Genomic DNA, 20,383 nt, shown 5'->3' on the forward strand with positions numbered 1-20,383 from the left:
TTAATCAGTCTACTGTCAAAACACCCTTAGTTTCAGGTGCTCTAAGCAGTTGAAGCAAGTGATTTTTTTCAAAAGTTCTATTTTTGTAATGAAATTTATTTAGTAAGGATAGGCGTGGTGGCTCACGCCTGTGATTCCAGCAGTTTGGGAGGCTGAGGCGGGCAGATCACCTGAGGTCAGGAGTTCGAGACCAGCCTGGCCAACATGGCAAAACCCCGTCTCCACTAAAAGTACAAAAAAATTAGCCGAGCATTGTGATGTGTGCCTGTAATCCCAGCTATTCAGGAGGCTGAGGCAGGAGAATCACTTGAACCCGGGAGGCGGAGGTTGCAGGGAGCTGAGATTACACCACTGCACTCCATCCTGGGCGATAGAGTGAGACTCTGTCTCAAAAAAACAAAAAAAGAAGAAATTCATTTCATAAAACGTGGATTTAAATTTTTTAATTCAAAATAATATTGAATAAATATAATGACAATCAAAATAATAAGAATACTAAGGGTCAAAACCCATGATTTTCCAAACCTGTATCTGTGGGTGGTTAGATTACTCTTAAATGTTTAAAGCTCTTTTCTAAATAGTTCAATCCCTGAGACACATATTTTCACTTTAAATAGTTTTTTTTTTTCCTGTGTACTTACTCAGAGGAGTATTTAGCTTATTAAGATACAAATACAGGCCGGGCACAGTGGCTCACGCCTGTAATCCCAGCACTTTGGGAGGCTGAGGCGGGCAGATCATGAGGTCAGGAGTTCAAGACCAACCTGACCAACATGGTGAAACCATGTCTCTACGAAAAATACAAAAATTAGCTGGGAGTGCTGGCGCATGTCTGTAATCCCAGCTACTCAGGAGCCTGAGGCAGAAGAATCGCTTCAGGAGAACCCAGGAGGCAGAGGTTGCAGTGAGTGGAGATTGCGCCATTGCACTCCAGCCTGGGCAACAGAGCGAAACTCTATCTCAAAAAAAAAAAAAAAAGCATAGCAGTCTGAATTTACCCAACTTTCTAAATATATCAAATACCGAAGTTAAAGTTCCATACTTAGGATTACATTGACAATCTAGTCTTAATAAAATTTCTTTCGTCTCTTACTTTTTGGGCTAACCAACTCCTTGTGAATTCTTTTTATTTCTTTTTTTTTAAGTTTATTTTTTTCTTTCCTTGTTTCCATTGGGCTTGGATTGGATTCTTTCTGTTATTAGAATTGTTATGAACTTTCCAGTGATTTAATCAAAGCGTCTCTTGACAGATGATCTGCCTCGGATGCGATTCAAGTGCCCGTACTGCACACATGTGGTGAAGCGGAAGGCAGACCTAAAGCGCCACCTTCGTTGTCATACAGGAGAAAGGCCCTATCCATGTCAAGCTTGTGGAAAAAGATTTAGCAGGCTAGACCATCTAAGTAGCCATTTTCGAACAGTATGTATGATTTTTTTTCATCGTTTTACTAATTCTTTTTTGGTTTTTGTTTTTGTTTTTTTGAGATGGAGTTTCACTCTTGTTGCCAGGCTGGAGTACAATGGTGTAATCTCAGCTCGCTGCAACCTCTGCCTCCCGGGTTCAAGCAATTCTCCTGCCTCAGCCTCCCAAGTAGTTGGGATACAGGTGTGTGCCACCACGCCTGGCTAATTTTTGTATTTTTAGTAGAGATGGGGTTTCACCACATTGGCCTGGCTGGTCTCAAACACCCAACCTCAGGTGATTCACCTGCCTCAGCCTCCCAAAAGTGCTGGGATTACAGGCATGAGCCACCACGCCCGGCCTTGTTTTGTTTTTTTTTTTTGAGACAGGGTCTCTCTCTATCGCCCAAGCTGGAGTGCAGTGGTGCCATCTCAGCTCACTGCAGCTTTTGTTTTTTTTTTTGAGACAGGGTCTCTCTCTATCGCCCAAGCTGGAGTGCAGTGGTGCCATCTCAGCTCACTGCAGCCGCGACTTCTCAGGCTCAAATTATCCTCCCGCCTCAGCCTCCTGAGTAGCTGGGACTACAGGCCTGCACCAACATGCCAGGCTAATTTTTGTATTTTTATATTTTTTGTAGAGATGGGGTTTCATCATGTTGCCCAGGCTGGTCTTGAACTCCTGGGGTCAAGTGATCCACCTGCCTCAGCCTCCCAAAATGCTGGGGTTACAGGCGTGAGCCACAGTACCTGGCCCATCATTTTACTTCTTAAGAAATATGTACAGTTGGCCAGGCACAGTGGCTCACACACGTAATCCCAGCACTTCGGGAGGCCAAGGCGGGCAGATTGCTTGAGGCCAGTTCAGTTCAAGACCAGCCTGGTTGGCTGGGCGCGGTGGCTCACGCCTGTAATCCCAGCACTTTGGGAGGCCGAGGCAGGCGGATCATGAGGTCAGGAGATCGAGACCATCCTGGCTAACATGGTGAAACCCCGTCTCTACTAAAAATACAAAAAAATTAGCCAGGCGTGGTGGCGGGCGCCTGCAATCCCAGCTACTCAGGAGGCTGAGGCAGGAGAATGGTGTGAACCTGGGAGGCGGAGCTTGCAGTGAGCCGAGATTGCATCACTGCACTCCAGCCTGGGCGACTGAGCGAGACTCCATCTCAAAAAAAAAAAAAAGACCAGCCTGGCTAACATGGTGAAACCCCATCCACCAAAAATACAAAAATTAGCTGGCATGGTAGCGCACACCTATAATCCCAGCTACTCAGGAGGCTGAGGCACGAGAATTGCCCAAACCCAGGAAGTGGAGGTTACAGTGAGCTGAGATCGCGCCACTGCACTCCAGCCTGAATGACAGAGTGAGACACTGTCTAAAACAAAAAACAAACAAAAAAAATACATTTATGGGCTTTAGGATCATCTCATTTGCTGAGGGAAATGTTTTCACACAACTCTACCATATTTAAAATTCTTCCAACTTAGTGTTTTTACTTTGCACGTAAAGCATAATTATGTATATTGATTTTTAATCTCCTTCAAGACCTTGAAGTGGGGTATATTCTTTTGATGGTAAATAGTTTTATATTTCCATTTTAATTCACTTAGTCTAATATGTTTTTATATACTGGTCTGTTCAGAGCCAAAGATAATATAAACTGTATAAATGCTTTAAGTGTCTAGGTCAGAATCACCACTGTAGATACTCAGCATCTACCAGTGATTACTGAATCCTTGTCTGGTAGGATTTCAGTCTAGTTGCGGCTGTCCAACCAAAGGAGGTCTCCACTACACCTGCTTTCTTTTTTCTTTTTTTTTTTGAGACAGAGTCTCGCTCTGTTGCCCAGGCTGGAGTGTAATGGCGTGATCTTGCCCCACTGCAACCTCTGCCTCCCAGGTTCAAACAATTCTCCTGTCTCAGCCTCCCGAGTAGCTGGGACTACAGGTGCCCACCTAGTTTTTGTATTTTTAGTAGAGATGGGGTTTCACCATGTTGGCCAGGCTGGTCTTGAATTCCTGACCTCAAGTGATCCATCCACCTCGGCCTCCCAAAGTACTGGGATTACAGGCGTGAGCCACCACGTCTGCTGGTCTTATATTTTTAGATATCATATGGTCTCAGGAATTTGAGGAATTGTATTGGTTTATTATGTTTGGATCCACAATTATTATTCCTTTTGACACTCAAATTTTTAGTTTTATCCAGTGAACAGTCTCTACCTTGATGCTGGCTCTTGTCTCCTTTTGTCACAACTCCATTAAATTTTGAAAGTGTCCTTGTTCTCTGGCTCCAAAAGAGGCCTAGACTCACTTTGTACTTTCCCTACCACAGAGCTGGAATCAGCCATTTCTCAATCCATTTCCTTTAGTGGAAAGTGAAATTAGAGCCCAAAGTCTGGGCAGTCATTGTTACGGAGGTGTCATTTCTTTTACACTATTTCAGTGGATAGAGTTAGAAGATACATATTTTGGAGGGATGGACATGAATCTGTATCAGAGCTTGTAACAAAAACAATACCACATTTGATACCCATAGTTTTGTTTGTTTGTTTGTTTGTTTTTTGAGACAGAGTCTCGTTCTGTCATCCAGGCTGGAGTGCAGTGGCACGATCTCAGCTTACCACAACCTCCACCTGCTGGGTTCAAGTGATTCTCCTGCCTTGGCCTCCCGAGTAGCTGGGATTACAAGCACATATCCGGCTAATTTTTTTTTTTTTTTTTGTATTTTTAGTAGAGATGGGGTTTCACCATGTTGGCCAGGCTGGTCTTGAACTCCTGGCCTCAAGTGATCCACCCACCTCCACTTCCCAAAGTGCTGGGATTACAGATGTGAGCTACTACGCCCAGCCTAATACGCATAATATTACTATCTCAGGAGAAATCAGAATTCATTCAAATCATGTACTTTTAATGTTTACTGATTAATATGTCAACAGTTACACACAGGATAATAACTGTACTAGTGGTAATTCCATACATTTTCCTACATATTTTACCAGACTGTATTAGCTTTCTTGGATTTTTTTTTTTTTTTTTTTTTTTTTTTGAGATGAAGTCTCACTGTGTCATCTAAGCTGGAGTGCAGTGGCACAATCTCAGCTCACTGCAACCTCCGCCTCCCGGGCTCAAGTGATTCTCCTGCCTCAGCCTCCCGTGTAGCTGGGATTACAGGCGTGTGCCACCATGCCCAGCTAAGTTTTGTATTTTTTTTTAGTAAAGATGGAGTTTTACCATATTGGCCAGGCTGATCTCAAACTGCTGACCTCAAGTGATCCACTCACCTCAGCCTTCCAAAGTGCTGGGATTACAGGTGTGAGCCACAGTGCCCAGCTTCTTGGAGTTTTTTACTGTGTTTGGTGCCCTACTTCTGCACTGTCCTGACTTTATTTAAATGAATATTCCATAAACATTGATTCAACATTATACAATTAATTTTTATAATTTTTAGATTAGAACCCATAATCTACTGTTCTGACAGCTATTGAACAAAATTGTTTATTACTAATTATAATACGTAATTATTCCTCACTACAACTGTTTACCAAAGCATTTCACACATGTTAACTCATTTGGTCCTCACATTAACCCTGTGAGTGATATTTCCATTAGCCAAAGGAAGCAAGCAAAGATAATACTAGGCTGATATATAGAAGCAGCACCATCGTAGTTGTTTATGATGAATGTCCAGTAGAATTAGTCAGGCTTCTCATCAGTCTGGGTGGTGCCCATATCTTACCAGTTAAATATTTTAACTGTCACCCTAAAGCAGGTTTATATAATGTTTTAAATTACTTGCTCCAAGAAGATAGTAAATAACTAGAACCCCAACCCTTCCAATCCCTGTGGTCCTCTTTCCACCAGATCTTTTATTAATAAAAATGGCAAGTTCTCCTTCTATCTAAAATATTAATAAATTTAAATTTATGCAATATTTTTCTTTCTCTAGTAAAATAACAAAAAATTAATACACAAAACAAGAGAGATTGCACCCCCCGCCCCCACCTCAAATTAAGATATGTTCAGCCTGGAAAACATAGTGAGACCCTTTCTCTATAAAAAATTTTTTTTTAATTAGCCAGGTGTGGTGGCATGCACCTGTAGTCCCAGCTCCTCGGTAGGTTGGGATGGGAGGATTGCTTGAGCCTGGGAGGCTGAGGCTGCAGTGAGCCATGGTCACCACTACACCGTAGCCTGGGTGACAGAGCGAGACCCTATTTTAAAAATAAAAAGTATGCTGGGCGCGGTGCCTCACACCTATAATCCCAGCACTTTGGGCGGCCGAGGCAGACAGATGACGAGGTCAGGAGTTTGAGACCAGCCTGACCAACATGGTGAAACCCCATCTCTACTAAAAATACAAAAATTAGCTGGGCGTGGTGGCACGTGCCTGTAATACCAGCTACTCAGGAGGCTGAGGCAGGAGAATTGCATGAACCCCGGAGGCGGAGGTTGCAGTGAGCCGAGATTGCACTATTGCACTCCAGCCTGGGCAACAGAGTGAGACTCTGTCTCAAAAATAAATAAATAAATAAATAAATAATAAAAATAATTAAATAAGTACATGGCACATAGTGTTTGCAATTATTATTATCATAGGAAGTTACCTCAGATACCAAATGCTATTGGATTAAGGGATAGGTGAAATTATTATGTCATATTAATAATAAAAAACATGATAGCCACTATTTAGAGAAAGCTGATGTTTAATATTTCTGTGACATCAATTCACCACTAAAACCCTTGATCTTTCTCTAAATAATAGATGTTAATTTGAGTTTAATGCATGGCTTTGAACATCTTAAGTTTATGAACTGGTACCTAAAATATCAAACTGTCCTGCTTTTGAAAAATCACTTTTATCACTATTTAAATCTCTACACAGATTCACCAGGCATGTAAACTCATCTGCAGAAAATGTAAACGTCATGTGACAGATCTAACAGGGCAAGTGGTACAGGAGGGAACCAGGCGCTACAGACTGTGTAATGAGTGTCTTGCAGAATTTGGCATAGACAGCCTCCCCATTGACTTGGAAGCTGAACAACATCTTATGTCCCCATCAGATGGAGATAAGGATTCCAGATGGCACTTGAGTGAAGATGAGAATAGATCCTATGTGGAGATTGTAGAAGATGGGTCTGCTGATCTGGTCATCCAACAGGTTGATGATAGTGAAGAAGAAGAAGAAAAAGAAATTAAGCCCAACATTAGGTAGCTGTAATGTGAACCAACAGAGCTGGCATGTCTGCAATTTACATTGACTTCCTGTATCTCTCTCTTTCTATGGTCGGAGTCTAGTTAACAAATTTATCACACTGACTTTAAAGAAATGATCTGATATAACTTGCATGCTTTCTGAACAGGCCATTGTATCCATTCTGAACTTTGTTGCCCTAAAATGTGTTGCTGCACTGGAAAGAAAGAACTAGCTTGAGTTGGCTTGATGGATGAACAATTATCCTCTTACTTTCATTACAATCCTCTTACTTTATTCCAGAGATACCTTTTTCTTTTAATATTGGAGGATCTACTTAGCAAACTTTTTTCAAAGAAAATACTTTAAATAAATTCACCACAACCAAACTTTATGTAAGACAATTTCAAGGTGTTTCAAAAACACATAACTACCAATGTTTAATTTCACAGGGAACCAGTTAAGAGCACATTTAAGGATCTGGCAACCCACCTTACTAAACAAATTAGTCTTTCTATTAATTTGAGATCTGAAACAACCTGTCATTACTCTGATATCCTGAACGTTTAAGGATTATGGAAGAAGACTAAAGTGTTTGAAATCATTCATATTTGAAATTTTTATCATTAGCTTAAAAATTACTCTCAGTATTGTTAAAAAAAAAAAAAAGTAGAGGCTGGCCAAAGATTATATACAGATATTTTCTTAAAGCAGGAAACTAATGTTGCCTAAAAGTCAAGGTAGTTTGTGAAGACAATCTGTCAATATGGTTGTCCATCTCTCTAAAGAAAAGCAGGCTGGGCGCTGTGGCTCATGCCTATAATCCCAATACTTTGGGAGGCCGAGGCAGGCGGATCACAAGGTCAGGAGTTTGAAACCAGCCTGGCCAACATGGTGAAACCTCGTCTCTACTAAAAAATACAAAATTAGCCGGGCATGGTGGCGGGTGCCTATAATCCCAGCTACTCGGGAGGCTGAGGCAGGAGAATCGATTGAACCTGGAAGGCAGAAGTTGCAGTGAGCCGAGATCACACCATTGCACTCCAGCCTGGGCAACAAGAGCGAAACTCCGTCTCAAAAAAAAAAGGAAAACAAACTAGGAGGTTCTTACCATATGTGAGTGATTTCTAACGTTTATGTAGTGCTATATTATTTATAAAGTACTCTCTCATGTATTTTCTCAGTGAGGTGGATACTATCTCCGATTTACAAATGAGGAAATTAAGGTCAGAAAGTCTGAGAGAGAAAACTGATGATTGGACAGGATCTGATTTTAAACAATCCTCTTTCAGCCTTCTCTCCCTGTATGTCTCCTGAAATGGCAAAGAATAGAAGTCAAACCTCACCAGTTGGCAGTCATTATAAAAATAAGCCAATCAGAATTAGAAAGTATGAAAGGAGGAATTGAATCATTTTCAACAACATACAATATCTTGATCTAGAGATTTTCAAATAATGCTAAGTAATGTCCCTACAGTACCTATTGGTATGTTTTTATGTCACGTTATTTATATGTAAATTTAAAGTATAAAACTATTTGAACAAATTATTCACTTAAATATGTTGAACATTTTTGCTTCTCTTGTTTATATAATATTTTCAAAACAAACTTTTCTCCTAGTATACAAAGTTTAAACTTCTCCCCTTTGGGCTGGGCCCAGTGGCTCACGCCTGTAATCCCAGCACTTTGGGAGGCTGAGGCAGGTGGATCACCGAGGTCGGGAGTTTGAGACCAGCCTGACCAACATGGAGAAACCCCGTCTCTACTAAAAATACAAAATTAGCCGGGCGTGGTGGTGCATGCCTGTAATCCCAGCTACTCAGAAGGCTGAGGCAGGAGGATAGCTTGAACCCAGGAGGCAGAGGCTGCGGTGGGCTGAGGTTGCGCCATTGCACTCCAGCCTGGGCAACAAGAGCGAAACTCCGTCTCAAAAAAAAAAAAAAAAAAAACTTCTCCCCTGCATAAATTATGAAACATTCCAAAATTACAGCTAAATTAGAGAAGCATTGTTTCAGTTCTAAAGGTAAAATCTAAATATCCGAAGTAAAGAACTGAGCTTCATAAAGGTCTCTTCTGCAAGTTATCACAGTGAAGCTTGATAGAATTTCACTGTATATGGAGAGGCTCCATCTATTTTACTGTTTTCTTTTTTGTTTTTGTTTTTTTTTCGAGACGGAGTCTCGCTCTGTCGCCCAGGCTGGAGTGCAGTGGTGCAATCTCAGCTCACTGCAAGCTCCACCTCCCGGGTTCTCGCCATTCTCCTGCCTCAGCCTCCCGAGTAGCTGGGACTTACAGGCGCCCACCACCACTCCCAGCTAATTTTTTGTATTTTTAATAGAGATGGGGTTTCACCGTGTTAGCCAGGATGGTCTCAATCTCCTGATCTCGTGATCCGCCCCCCTCGGCCTCCCAAAGTGCTGGGATTACAGGCGTGAGCCACTGCGCCCAGCCAATTTTACTGTATTTTTAAATGCCATGACATACCTCAAAATTATCCTTTTTATGTTACTATTTTCTCTTGTTCTTTCATTAATTATTGTCCTTGATACCAATTTCTAGGCTAAATTGGTTACTTTCTTTTAAAAAATTTAAAAATAGATGAATAACCACTTGTTTCATGGTACTTAATTGAGACTTTTTCAAGATTCCCCTGATGGCACATTTGCAGTTGCTTCAAGACTGGATGATGTGCATTGAGTTCTCTGTTCTCCCAACATGGCTGTTCCTAAATCAGGATTCTGGTTTTTTTGAGATGGACTCTCGCTCTGTTGTCCAAGCTGGAGTGCAGTGGCGTGATCTCGCTCACCACAACCTCTGCCTCCCGGGTTCAAGCGATTCTCCTGCCTCAGCCTCCTGAGTAGCCGGGACTACAGGCATGTGCCACCATGCCTGGCTAATTTTTGTATTTTTAGTAGAGACAGGGTTTCGCTATGTTGGCCAGGCTGGTCTCGAACTCCTGACCTCGTGATCTGCCCGCCTCAGCCTCCCAAAGTGCTGGGATTACAGGCGTGAGCCAGCACGCCCGGCCTAAATCAGGATTCTTAACAATTAAAGTGTATCTGAATGAGGAAGGAAACGCTTGTCATTCTCTAGTCTTACCCAATTAATACTGACACCTTTTGAAATTAAAACCTGATTTTTTAGTTGTTGGAGCCAGTAGGAAAAATGGCTGATTTGAACTTTTTTCCTATAAATGAAGTAGTGCTTGCATGTGTGTACTCTAATGCACTTTAGTCTATGATCTAAATGTCCTTTTATGCTATTATCTTCTGCATGCAAACTTTACATACATCAGCATGAATATCCAACATTCACTGAACACAGTGCCACCAGCACTTGTAATTGCCTTTTCAGAAATAATGCTTTCTCATAATTGTTTATAACGAGCATCAAACTATCCCCACAAAATGATCAAGTTCACCAAACTAGACAAAGAATCTGTTGTATCATTTTAACATCATAGAAGAACATTTAAGACATGTTTGTAAGTTGTAAATAATGACTCCAGTTATAGCATATATATCTAAGACGTTAGAGACCAGTTATTTTCTAGAGTGAAACTGTCTATTGATGATTGAGAAAATTGAATTCTTTGGTTTTTACATGTGGGCAAATGTTACATAGGGGTATAATCTGTTTAAATAAGCTTTATTTATGCCAAGGATTTTTTTTTTAATATCAAGACTTGGTTAGACCAAAGTTTGCTCTTGCAGGAATGCCATTTATCAGCTTCTGAATGCCCTTCTAACTCCATTACCCTCAAGAGTGTCTGGGTATAGGATGAAGCATTACAAAAAGAAAGCACCACTGCAGTCATGCCTAGTGTCTGGGAGAAACAAAATGGACTAGACCTGCAGTTTAAAATAATTTAACCCGAGAAACTCTTCAAATGAATTGTTTCCTAAAGATGCTCAAATTTAAGGGATAAACTCTAAAATCAGAGCTGCTGTGGTTAAAGTCCCCCACAAACCTTTCCCCAGACACCTCTGCAGAACTCAGGTGCACAATGTTGAAAACCATGGAATTAGACAACTTCCTGAATTCCCTTTGAGCCTTGCAGCCTCATTTCGTTACTCCTGTTACTCACGGTGCTTATAAGCAGGTAACCATATGGTCTCTTAGTGAAGCAAATCACATCCTTAGCACATGATGTTCCTTCTATGGGTATCAGATCTTAAGACTTTTTAAAATTTAGGAACAAATGTTTCAATATTATATTTTCAGTAATGCAATCAAAATAAGCATAGTTACTGTTTTCTGTACGGCTAAGTACTGCCTAATGGATGAAAGAAGTTTGGTGCTTCAATTATTTATGAGCTCAGAACTCAATTCATTAAAGTTATTTTGCCAAGTCATGCCAAGATATATTGAAATTTCCACTCATATTGGTTTTTAAAATTTTTTTTAGTCCTAAAATTAATAAGTATGGAAAATCACTAAAAGCAGTGTAGGATAAGGTGTGTTTAACTGGCCGGGCACGGTGGCTCATGCCTGTAATCCTAGCACTTTGGGAGGCCGAGGCGGGCGGATCACTTAAGGCCAGGTGTTCGAGACCATCCTGGCCAACATGGTGAAACCCCGTCTCTAGTAAAAATACAAAAAATAGCTGGGCATGATGGTGGGTGCCTGTAATCCCAGGTACTCGGGAGGCTGAGGCAGGAGAATCGCTTGAACCCGGGAGGTGGAGGTTGCAGTGGCCGAGATCGCACCACTGCACTCCAGCCTGGGTGACAGAGCGAGACTCCATCAAAAAAAAAAAAAAAAAAAAAAAAGATGTGTTTAACTGGGAAGGGTGATAATAATAGAATAATAGGTACAGGAGGACCAAACTTTAGATTATAAACCAGAAAGTTTTGTTATTTTATATAAGTGTATCAGTATTACTATTTATCATTTATATAGCATTTTATATTTGCAAAGTGTTTAATAATTTTTGTTATTCTTTACATATATATGAAATAGGACAGTTATCCCACATGAACGGTAAATAAATTGAGGCACAGAACAGTAAAAAAACCTCAGGGTCAGGCGTGGTGGCTCACACCTGTAATCCCAGCACTTTGGGAGGCCAAGGCGGGTGGATCACTTTAGGTCAAGAGTTGGAGACCAGCCTGGGGCAATATAGTGAAACCCCTTCTCTACTAAAAATACAAAAATTAGCCAGGCATGGTGGTGGGCACCTGTAATCCCAGCTACTCTGGGGGCTGAGACAGGAGAATTGCTTGAACTCAGGAGGCGGAGGTTGCAGTGAGCCAAGATCACGCTACTGCACTCCAGGCTGGGTGACAGAGCGAGACTCCACCTCAAAAAAAAAAAAAAAAAAAAAAAAAAGAACCTAAGACAACCCAGTGAAATGGTAGCAAAAAATAGGAAATATAATGATCACATTTTCTGAATCCTAGACCATCAGCCTAATTCACTGAGGTGTGTTGTGTATCACTCTATTTTATAGATGATTTTATATAAGTAACAGTGGATTGTTTTAAAGCTGACGTCATTGTATGTGGATACATTCTATATGGAATAAATGTTATGTAAAGGATGTGACTTTAGTTATGTCACAGGATCCTTAGGGTGTTGCTTTGCCACCAGCCAGAAACCTCTTGGCCGGTGGCTCCTCTGCTTGGGTTTTGCTTGTGCCTGCTGGGCTCATTCCACCCATGTGGACTGGCAGGCTGTGGTCCACTGGTGGTACCAGCCTGGATCTCATGCCTGCCGAGGGTGAGCCAGGCACGGAGTGACGGGTGTGTGAGTGAGCTAGCGTGGGGTCCGGCCACTGCACACAACCAGGCACACTGGCTGCAGTGGGGTGGACAGCTCTAGGCGCTGGCACAGGCACCAGCTCCATGCCAGGCTGCAGCGGGACCAGACGTACTGAAAGCGGCTTCCGCTGCGGGCATCAGCATTTGGACAAGTGGAACGCAGTGGTGCCCGAAAGCTCAGAGATGCCGGGAACTGCAGACCCCCAAAGAGGGTGTTACAGCATGTCACACCATGGCTCAGGGAGCCCCGAGGTCTGGGCTGCCAGAAGGGCTGCAGCTCTTCTCTCCTTCTCGTCGCCCACAACGTGGTGAGCAGGGAGCATGTTTCAGCCCTGCTTGTGTTACAGCTCTTTCAGTCCACCATTTGGTGGGTCCCGAGTTCTTTTCCTGCATCCGAGAAGAATGAGGTACGCAGACAACTGGAGGGTGAGCAAGGCCGAAAGGAGCTTCACTGAGCAACAGAACAGCTCTCAGGAGACCTGAAGTGGGTAGCTCCTTTCCACAGGGCAGAGAGGAGCTTCACTCTGCAACAGAACAGCTCTCAGGAGACCCGAAGTGGATAGCTCCTTTCCACAGGCAGGTCGACCTGATGAGTGTCCAGATGACCAGCTCTCACCCAAGAGGAGACCTGCAGGCAGGTCCTTTTAAGGAGACTCAAAGCGGGTAGCTCCTTCCTGCAGCTGGTAGTCCTGACAGCCGGCTGAGTCTGCTGAGACCAGGGGTTTTTATGGGCTCAGAAGGGAGGAAGTGCATGCTGCTTGGTCTGTGGGTGTCCATGGGCAGCCCAGAAAACACCACAAGTTCTTACTCTAGCCCTGGACTCCACCAGGAACTGCCAGACCAACCCCCAGGCTTCAGGCATTCCCTGGCTTGAAGGGGGGATTTCACTGGGAACCCACCCTTTTCCACCCAGGAACCTGTCTGCCTCCTGCCATCAACATGCCCTCCATGGTGCCCAGACTGTGCCAAGGGGCGCCTGCAGGCCCAAACCAAGCCACCGTCATCAACCCCCTGACTGGCTTCCCTCCCACGCACATGGGTGCCCAAAGTTTAGAGGGGGCTGAGGTGGCAGGGGGCTGGCGTGTCAGTGCCACCTCTAGCATGCTCAACCTGGCCAGGTCACGACAACACCTAGGTTTGGCCCAACTTTGCTCTGCAACAGAGCAGGTGCAGGAGCAGAAAGAGGCCAGGGAATGGGAGCAGGCACTTCTGAGCCTGTGGGCGCTGGGAGCTTCCCAAGCCCTGAAGAGTGCAGGGATGCCCAGGTCTGGAGCCGCAGCTGGGCGGCTGCAGCTGTGCCCAGAAGTGTGGGACTCCAGCCCTGCCGATTCAGTAGGGGCAGGGCTCCTGCCTGTAGCCAGCCCCTGTGGGCTTCGTGGAGCCGTGAGCCTCAGCTGCGTTTCCCTCACTGCAGCTGGCATCGCAGCAGCGGCTGTTACAGACGGGCCACTGGTGCCTTTAGTTACAAGAGTTTTAATGATAAAATTCAAGTTATCACAGAAATGGTAGTATATAGCCAGCTGTTTTATATATTGTGAAGTATAAGTAACATATAATTTTGATACAGGAGTTTCTTAACTATTCCTGCTAATGGACCTATGAATAGGCCAGAAAAATGAAATCCACCGAGAATCTGTAAACTTCATTTTCACGTCAGCCTTCTCCCCACAGAACTGTATTAATGCCACCAAAAAAGTAAAATATTTAAATATAATGTTAACAAGTAATGAACCACACAGCAATAGAAGCAAAGGGACTCTTGAAGTCAAAATATCTTGAAGTCAAAATATTTTGCAATTACTGAAATAGTATAACACTTTTCCCTACTCTTTCTTTTTTTTTTTTTTTCTTCAAACCATCAAAATCCGTTGCATACTTTCTCACCTTTAAATAGGAAACCAGAGGCTGGGTACAGTGGCTCACACCTGTAATCCCAGAATTTTGGGAGGCCGAGGTGGTCGGATCATTTGAGGCTAGGAGTTCAAGACCAGCCTGGCCAACATGGTAAAACCCCATCTCTATAAAAAATACAAAAATTAGCCTGGCGTGGTGCCGCATGCCTGTAATCCCAGCTACTCAGGAGGCCGAGGCACAATAATTGCTTGAACCTAGGAGGTGGAGGTTGCAGTGAGCTGAGATCACGCCACTGCACTCCAGCCTGGGTGACAGAGCAAGACTGTCTCAAAAAGAAAAAAGGAAACCAGAGACCAGGGAAATACCCTTTACCTTTACCTTTGCGCTTAGCTAGATCATTTGCAAGCAGAATTTTATACTTTGCCTGCTTTGCTCTTTCAGATTTCCAGATACACAATTCCATTATATAGTTTCTTGATTTTCCCCTTGGGAAAATCATTTATTTCCTTGTTGATATTACTTACAACTACTTATTTTCTTTATTAAAGAGAAACTTATTTTTATTCAGCCCATAAGGGAAAAAGGGAACAACATTTCTGCCTAGACCAGAGATCCTCAACTTTGGTTGCACATTAGAATCACCTGTGGATCTTTTAAAATACAGATGCCTAGGCAAATCAGAATCTCGGGCAGGTGGGGCTTGGGTGTAAGTATTTTTGCAAGCTAGGCTGGCTGGGCACGGTGGCTCACACCTGTAATTCCAGCACTTTGGGAGGCCAAGGCGGGTGGATCAGGAGGTCAAGAGATCGAGACCATCCCGGCCAACATGGTGAAACCCCATCTCTACTAAAAATACAAAAATTAGCTGGGTGTGGTGGCGCATGCCTGTAGTCCCAGCTACTCAGGAGGCTGAGGCAGGAGAATCGCTTGAACCCGGGAGGCGGAGTTTGCAGTGAGCTGAGATTGCGCCACTGCACTCCAGCCTGGCGACAGAACGAGACTCCGTCTGAAAAAAAAAAACCTAGGCTGGATACAGTGGCTCATGCCTGTAATCCCAACACTTTGGGAGACAGAGGTAGGAGGATTGCTTGAGCCTAGGAGTTTGAGACCAGCCTGGGCAACATAACAAGTCGCAGTCTCTACAAAAAATTTAAAAATTAGGTGGGCGTGGTGGCACATGCCTGTAGTCTCAGTTACTCAGGAGGCTCGGGTGGGAGGATCACTTGAGCCTTAGGATCACTGAGTGAAGGATGCAGTGAGCTATGATGGTGCCACTGCACTTCAGCCTGGACGATACAGCAAGATCTTGGCTCTAAAAATAAAAATAAATAAATAAATAAATAAATAAATAAATAAATAAATAAAAGCTTCCCAAAGTTTGTGACATGCAAAATAGGGCCCATTCAAGGTTTCCCTCTGTCCTCCCCATATAGATGCCAAGGAGAGGCAGTAGGACTATTTGACCTTACAGTCCACTGGTTCTCAACCGTATCATTAAGGAAAAATTTAAAAATAGAGGTGTCCAGTCCAGGAAAATATTTATTTTTGTAAAATTTCAAGACACACTGCATGTTCCATTATCTAAGGTTTTTAATAGAGACAAGTAATATCGACACTCTAATAAAATAATGAGTAGTCTTAAAATACCCCATTTTTATTTTGGGATGCATTTGCATTTTATTTGATTATGGGTATTGCATTCTGGGAATTCACACAGTATTTCAAACCAATAAAAGAACTATGTAATGAATACGTGACTGAAATACTACATACTGAAATTTTACAAGCTTTAATATTTTCTTTTTAAAGAAAGGAACCAGAACACTCCAAGCTCTGTAAAAGCTCAATTGCTACACTTTAGAATTCCATAAAATAATTGAATTAAGTCATTCTTTAGTTCCAGTTAAATGGAATACTAGAGAGGCAGGAAAATACTACTGTATTATTTAAAGAAGACTTCAGACGAATTTGGAAACAAAGCAAACTTCTCTTTTGCTTTATTTCTTCAAGAATTACCATTTTTAAAAAAAGCTTTAAAAATAAAACACAACTTTTAGATAGAGTACCATTTTCATTCCCACCTTGAAGGTTATGTTTGCAATCCATTCATGACAAGTATATCTCTTCAGTCTCCTGCAAAAAAGAATTTCTTCCAATGACAAAATGGTACTTTCTTGCATAATTTTTTTTTTTTTTTGAGACGGAGTCTTGCTCTGTCGCCCAGGCTGGAGTGCAGTGGTGTGATCTTGGCTCACACCTCCGCCTCCCGGGTTCAAGCGATTCTCCTGCCTCAGCCTCAAAGCAGCTGGGATTATAGGCATGGGCCACCATACCCAGCTAATTTTTGTATTTTTAGTAGAGATGGGGTTTCGCCATATTGGCCCGGTTGGTCTCAAACTCCTGACCTCAGATGATCCGCCAGCCCCGGCCTCCCAAAGTGCTAGGATTACAGGCATGAGCCACCATGACTGGCCCATAATTTTTTTTCTTTTTATTTTCTTGCATAATTTTAAAAGGTTACATGCTGAGTCCAGGCACTGTGGCTCACACCTGTAATTCCAGCACTTTGGGAAGCCGAGGCAGGTGGATCACTTGAGGTCAGGAGTTCAAGACCAGCCTGGCCAACATGGTGAAACCCCGTCTCTACCAAAAATACAAAAATTAGCCGGGCGTGTTGGTGCACACCTGTGATCCCAGCTACTCAGGAGGCTGAGGCAGGAGAACCGCTTGAACCCAGGAGGCAACGTTGCAGTGAGCTGAGATTGTGCCACTGCACTCCAGCCTGGGCAACAAGAGTGAAACTTCTCAAAAAACAAAAGAAAAGATACTGTGCCTTTTGTTGCCTATCTGAATTGATTTTAAACTTTTTCTGTATACTGAGGAAAAAGTCCACAAAAAACCCAGGAGTTGAAAACCCCAGCTGAAAGTATTAGCACCACGTGTTAAAAAATGAAGGCCTTGAGATATGGCCACATTGGTTCACTCCTGTAATATCAGCGCTTTGGGAGGCTGAGGTGGGAGAATCACTTGAGGCCAGGAGTTCGAGGCCAGCCTGGGCATCAGTGACATTCTACCTCCACCAAAAAAACCCAAAAAATTAAAATTAGGCGGGCATGGTGGCACAGGCCTGTAGTCCCAGCTATTTGGGAAGCGAAGCTGGGGCGGGAGGATCCCTTGAGCCCAGGAATTCAAAACTGCAGTGAGCTATGATTGCGCCACTGCACTCCAGCCTGGGCCACATTGTGAGACACTGTCTATTAAAAAAGTAACAAATAGATAAAAAAGCCTGGGTTTTTTCTCCCTAAACAATGGATATCACGTTCAAGCAAGTGAACCCTCTATAAACCATGACTTTATATATTATTTTCAGGGATGACTATGCCAGTGAGCGAGATTAAGGGGTAGAAACTCTTCCTTTTCAGTCCTGTTTTTCGTCACAACTACTTTTCCTGGAAAGTTATTCAGTCTAACAGCTAGACCCCCCTTCCCCCACCGCCCCCGTCGGAGAGGCCTGGGATTTACCAGACACTCCTAAAGCTAGATTAGCTAGACTCTGGGGGCGATAGGGGGAAATAGGCATTTTTCTGTCGTGTGTAGTGGACGCCTTATAAAAAGCCCACATTTGGCCCGGCGCAGTGGCTTACGCCTGTAATCCCAGCACTTTGGGAGGTCGAGGCCGGCGGATCACCTGAGATCAGGTCAGTCTGGCCAACATCGTGAAACCCCGTCTCTACTAAAAATACAAAATTAGCAGAGCGTGGTGGTGGGCGCCTGTAATCCCAGCTACTCGGGAGGCTGAGGCAGAAGAATCACTTGAACCCGGGAGGCGGAGGTTGCAGTGAGCCGAGATCATGCCATTGCACTCCAGCCTGGGCAAAAAGAGCAAAACTCCATCTCAGAAAAAAAATATAAAAATAAATTAAAAAATAAAAATAAAAAGCCCACATTTGCCAGGCACCGACTAGATCCAGCACCGTCCTCATTTAAAACAGTTGGACTTGGGGGGTTGTGCACTGGAATGACTAACCTGGAAGCCACGCCACGACTCAGGGGCGGAGGGGACTCGAATCCGCGCGATCAGATGCCGCCGCAGGTGCTTAAGACCTGCAGCCTACAGAGCAAGCCTATCTTATCCCCACTTTAGGAAAAGTTGTCTGGTGTTACTTAAGGTTATGACATTGTGCTCTGTGAAGTCACTTGCGTCCCCGACACCTCCCAACTCAGCTGGGACTGGCCAGTGCCCTGCTCCCTGACCTCGCCGCGGCGGCCAGTAGGAGGTGTCGGCGCCCCAGGAGTCCGCGGCCGAGCCAATGGGAGCCGCGAGAAGGGCCGGGGCGGAGCCTGGACGCGTGATGCCAGGGAACCACTCCCGTGGGATTTGGCCAGAGGCATCTCACTGGCGTCCTGTCGCCCAGGCTGGGGTGCAGTGGCTCGATCTCAGCTCACTGTGACCTCTGCCTCCCGGGTTGAAGCGATTCTTCCGCCTCAGCCTCCCTAGTATCTGAGATTATGGGCGTGCGCCACATGCCCGGCTAATTTTTTTGTATTTTTATTAGAGACGAGGTTTCACCATGTTGGCCAGACTGGTCTTGAACTCCTGGCCTCATGTGATCCACCCACCTCGCCTCCCAAAGTGCTGGGATTACAAGCGTGAGCCACCGCGCCTGGCCTGAAGTGCAGGCTTTTGAATATAGATGCTCAACGAAGATATGGGAGAAAGAAAGCTAGATTAGCACAGGAAAAAGCCACAGTAGATAAGTAGGAGACGGGAAATAAGTCTGGAGAAGAGAAAGGAGAGGGAAAAGCAGAAACGAGTGACTCAGCCTGCCCAGCTTAATAAACTAAGATTCTAGCTACCATGTCACTTGTGCAGATGGCACGGGCTCCCAGGGTTGTCTCTAGAATGATGACACCCCTTCACCAAGCACTGTGGACCTTCTTTAGAATTAAAGAGGGGGCTGGACACAGTGACTGACGCCTGTAATACCAGCACTTTGGGAGGAGGAAGTGGAAGGATTGCTTGAGGCCAGGAGTTTGAGACCAGCCTGGGCAAAATACTGCCTTTGCAAAATTATGACTGAGACAGTGGAAAGAGATCTAACCTGACTCCATCTTGCTTCTAACCTCCAAGCTATCCTTGTTCATTCCTGGGTGGAGGCTGAACTAACTTCGGGAGAAACTTATAGTTTATAGTTTAAAACAAAGATGATAACAGCCCTTTCCCAAAACAAACCTCCTTGCCTGGGGACTAGGCTGCCTTTGTAGGACTAAGAAATTAGCCACAAGATTAGAAATTATGGTTTAGGATTCATGCAGCTGGAGGTTACAAAATCTTGACCCTCCCTAAACTGCTCTTCAGATCAGTGTTTGAGATATTTTGCAGACCCTGCACTTGATGGATCAGCTGGGACCACCCAGATCGATAAACTGGCTCATCTGATCTTGTGACCCCCCCCCCCCCACACCTAAGAACTGACTTAGCGCAAGAAGACAGCTTCCACTCCCTATGATTTCATCTGTGACCTGACCAATTAGCACTCCCGGCTCACTGGTTTCCCCCCACCCACCAAGTTGTCCTTAAAAACTCTGATCCCCAAATACTGGGCAAACTTAATTGAGTCATAATATAACTCTGGTCTCCCGCAGAGCCAGCTCTGCGTGAATTACTCTTTCCCTATTGCAATTCCCCTGTCTTCATAAATCGCCTCTGTCTAGGCAGCAGGTAAGGTGAACCCACTGGGTAGTTATACTGTCTCCCAAAAAAACAGCAGTCAGGCATAGTGACACATGCCTGTAGTCCCAGCCACTCAGGAGGCTGAGGCAGGATGATCACCTGAGCCCAGGAGTTTAAGGCTGCAGTGAGCTATGATCATGCCACTGTACTCCGAGCAACAGAGCCAGACTTTCTTTCTGAAAAGAAGGCTGGGCACGGTGGCTTACACCTGTAATTCCAGCACTTTGGGAGGCCGAGGTGGGCGGATCACCTGAGGCCAGGAGTTCCAGACCAGCCTGGCCAACATGGTGAAACCCTGTCTCTACTAAAAATACAAAAATTAGCCGGGTGCGATGGCACATGCCCATAGTCCCAGCTACTTGGGAGGTGAGGTAGGAGAATCACTTAAACCCAGGAGGTGGAGGCTGCAGTGAGCCGAGATCGCACCACTGTACTCC

General features: G+C 44.1%; 1 protein-coding gene and 1 long non-coding RNA gene across 4 annotated transcripts in view, besides 3 other annotated features; one reads left to right on the top strand and one right to left on the bottom strand.

Annotated features, from left to right (window-relative positions):
• ZBTB8A (zinc finger and BTB domain containing 8A) overlaps positions 1-12,138 on the top strand; it is a 66,515-nt gene extending 54,377 nt beyond the window's left edge. For 2 of the 3 annotated variants that reach the window (NR_111980.2, NM_001291496.2), the window contains 2 exons: positions 1,251-1,420; positions 6,465-12,138. Coding sequence is in view for 2 of the 3 variants with exons in the window: in NM_001291496.2 (NP_001278425.1) it covers positions 1,251-1,420; positions 6,465-6,494 (200 nt within the window). In the remaining variant the exon portion in view is untranslated. Of the gene's footprint in view, positions 1-1,250; positions 1,421-6,283 lie in introns of all 3 variants that reach the window. The other variant, NM_001040441.3, reaches the window with a different exon arrangement.
• Positions 12,777-13,277: an enhancer, noted in NCBI's record as "H3K27ac hESC enhancer chr1:33072181-33072681 (GRCh37/hg19 assembly coordinates)". NCBI's record gives its function as "activates a minimal SCP1, AML or CMV promoter by ChIP-STARR-seq in naive H9 embryonic stem cells {active_cell/tissue: H9 hESC(naive)}" and the evidence as "EXISTENCE:reporter gene assay evidence [ECO:0000049][PMID:30033119]".
• LOC102723870 (uncharacterized) lies at positions 14,746-18,687 on the bottom strand. The gene is made up of 3 exons (XR_426677.5): positions 18,240-18,687; positions 16,294-16,345; positions 14,746-15,524 (listed from the first exon to the last, which is right to left on the bottom strand). It is a non-coding gene; the product is annotated as an uncharacterized LOC102723870 (long non-coding RNA).
• Positions 18,203-18,704: an enhancer, noted in NCBI's record as "H3K27ac hESC enhancer chr1:33077607-33078108 (GRCh37/hg19 assembly coordinates)". NCBI's record gives its function as "activates a minimal SCP1, AML or CMV promoter by ChIP-STARR-seq in naive H9 embryonic stem cells {active_cell/tissue: H9 hESC(naive)}" and the evidence as "EXISTENCE:reporter gene assay evidence [ECO:0000049][PMID:30033119]".
• Positions 18,473-18,582: a silencer, noted in NCBI's record as "silent region_602". NCBI's record gives its function as "represses an Ori minimal core promoter by ATAC-STARR-seq in GM12878 lymphoblastoid cells {active_cell/tissue: GM12878}" and the evidence as "EXISTENCE:reporter gene assay evidence [ECO:0000049][PMID:35858748]".

This window comes from Homo sapiens, chromosome 1 (assembly GCF_000001405.40).
Source record: "Homo sapiens chromosome 1, GRCh38.p14 Primary Assembly".
In the NCBI taxonomy this organism is placed as follows: Eukaryota; Metazoa; Chordata; class Mammalia; order Primates; family Hominidae; genus Homo; species Homo sapiens.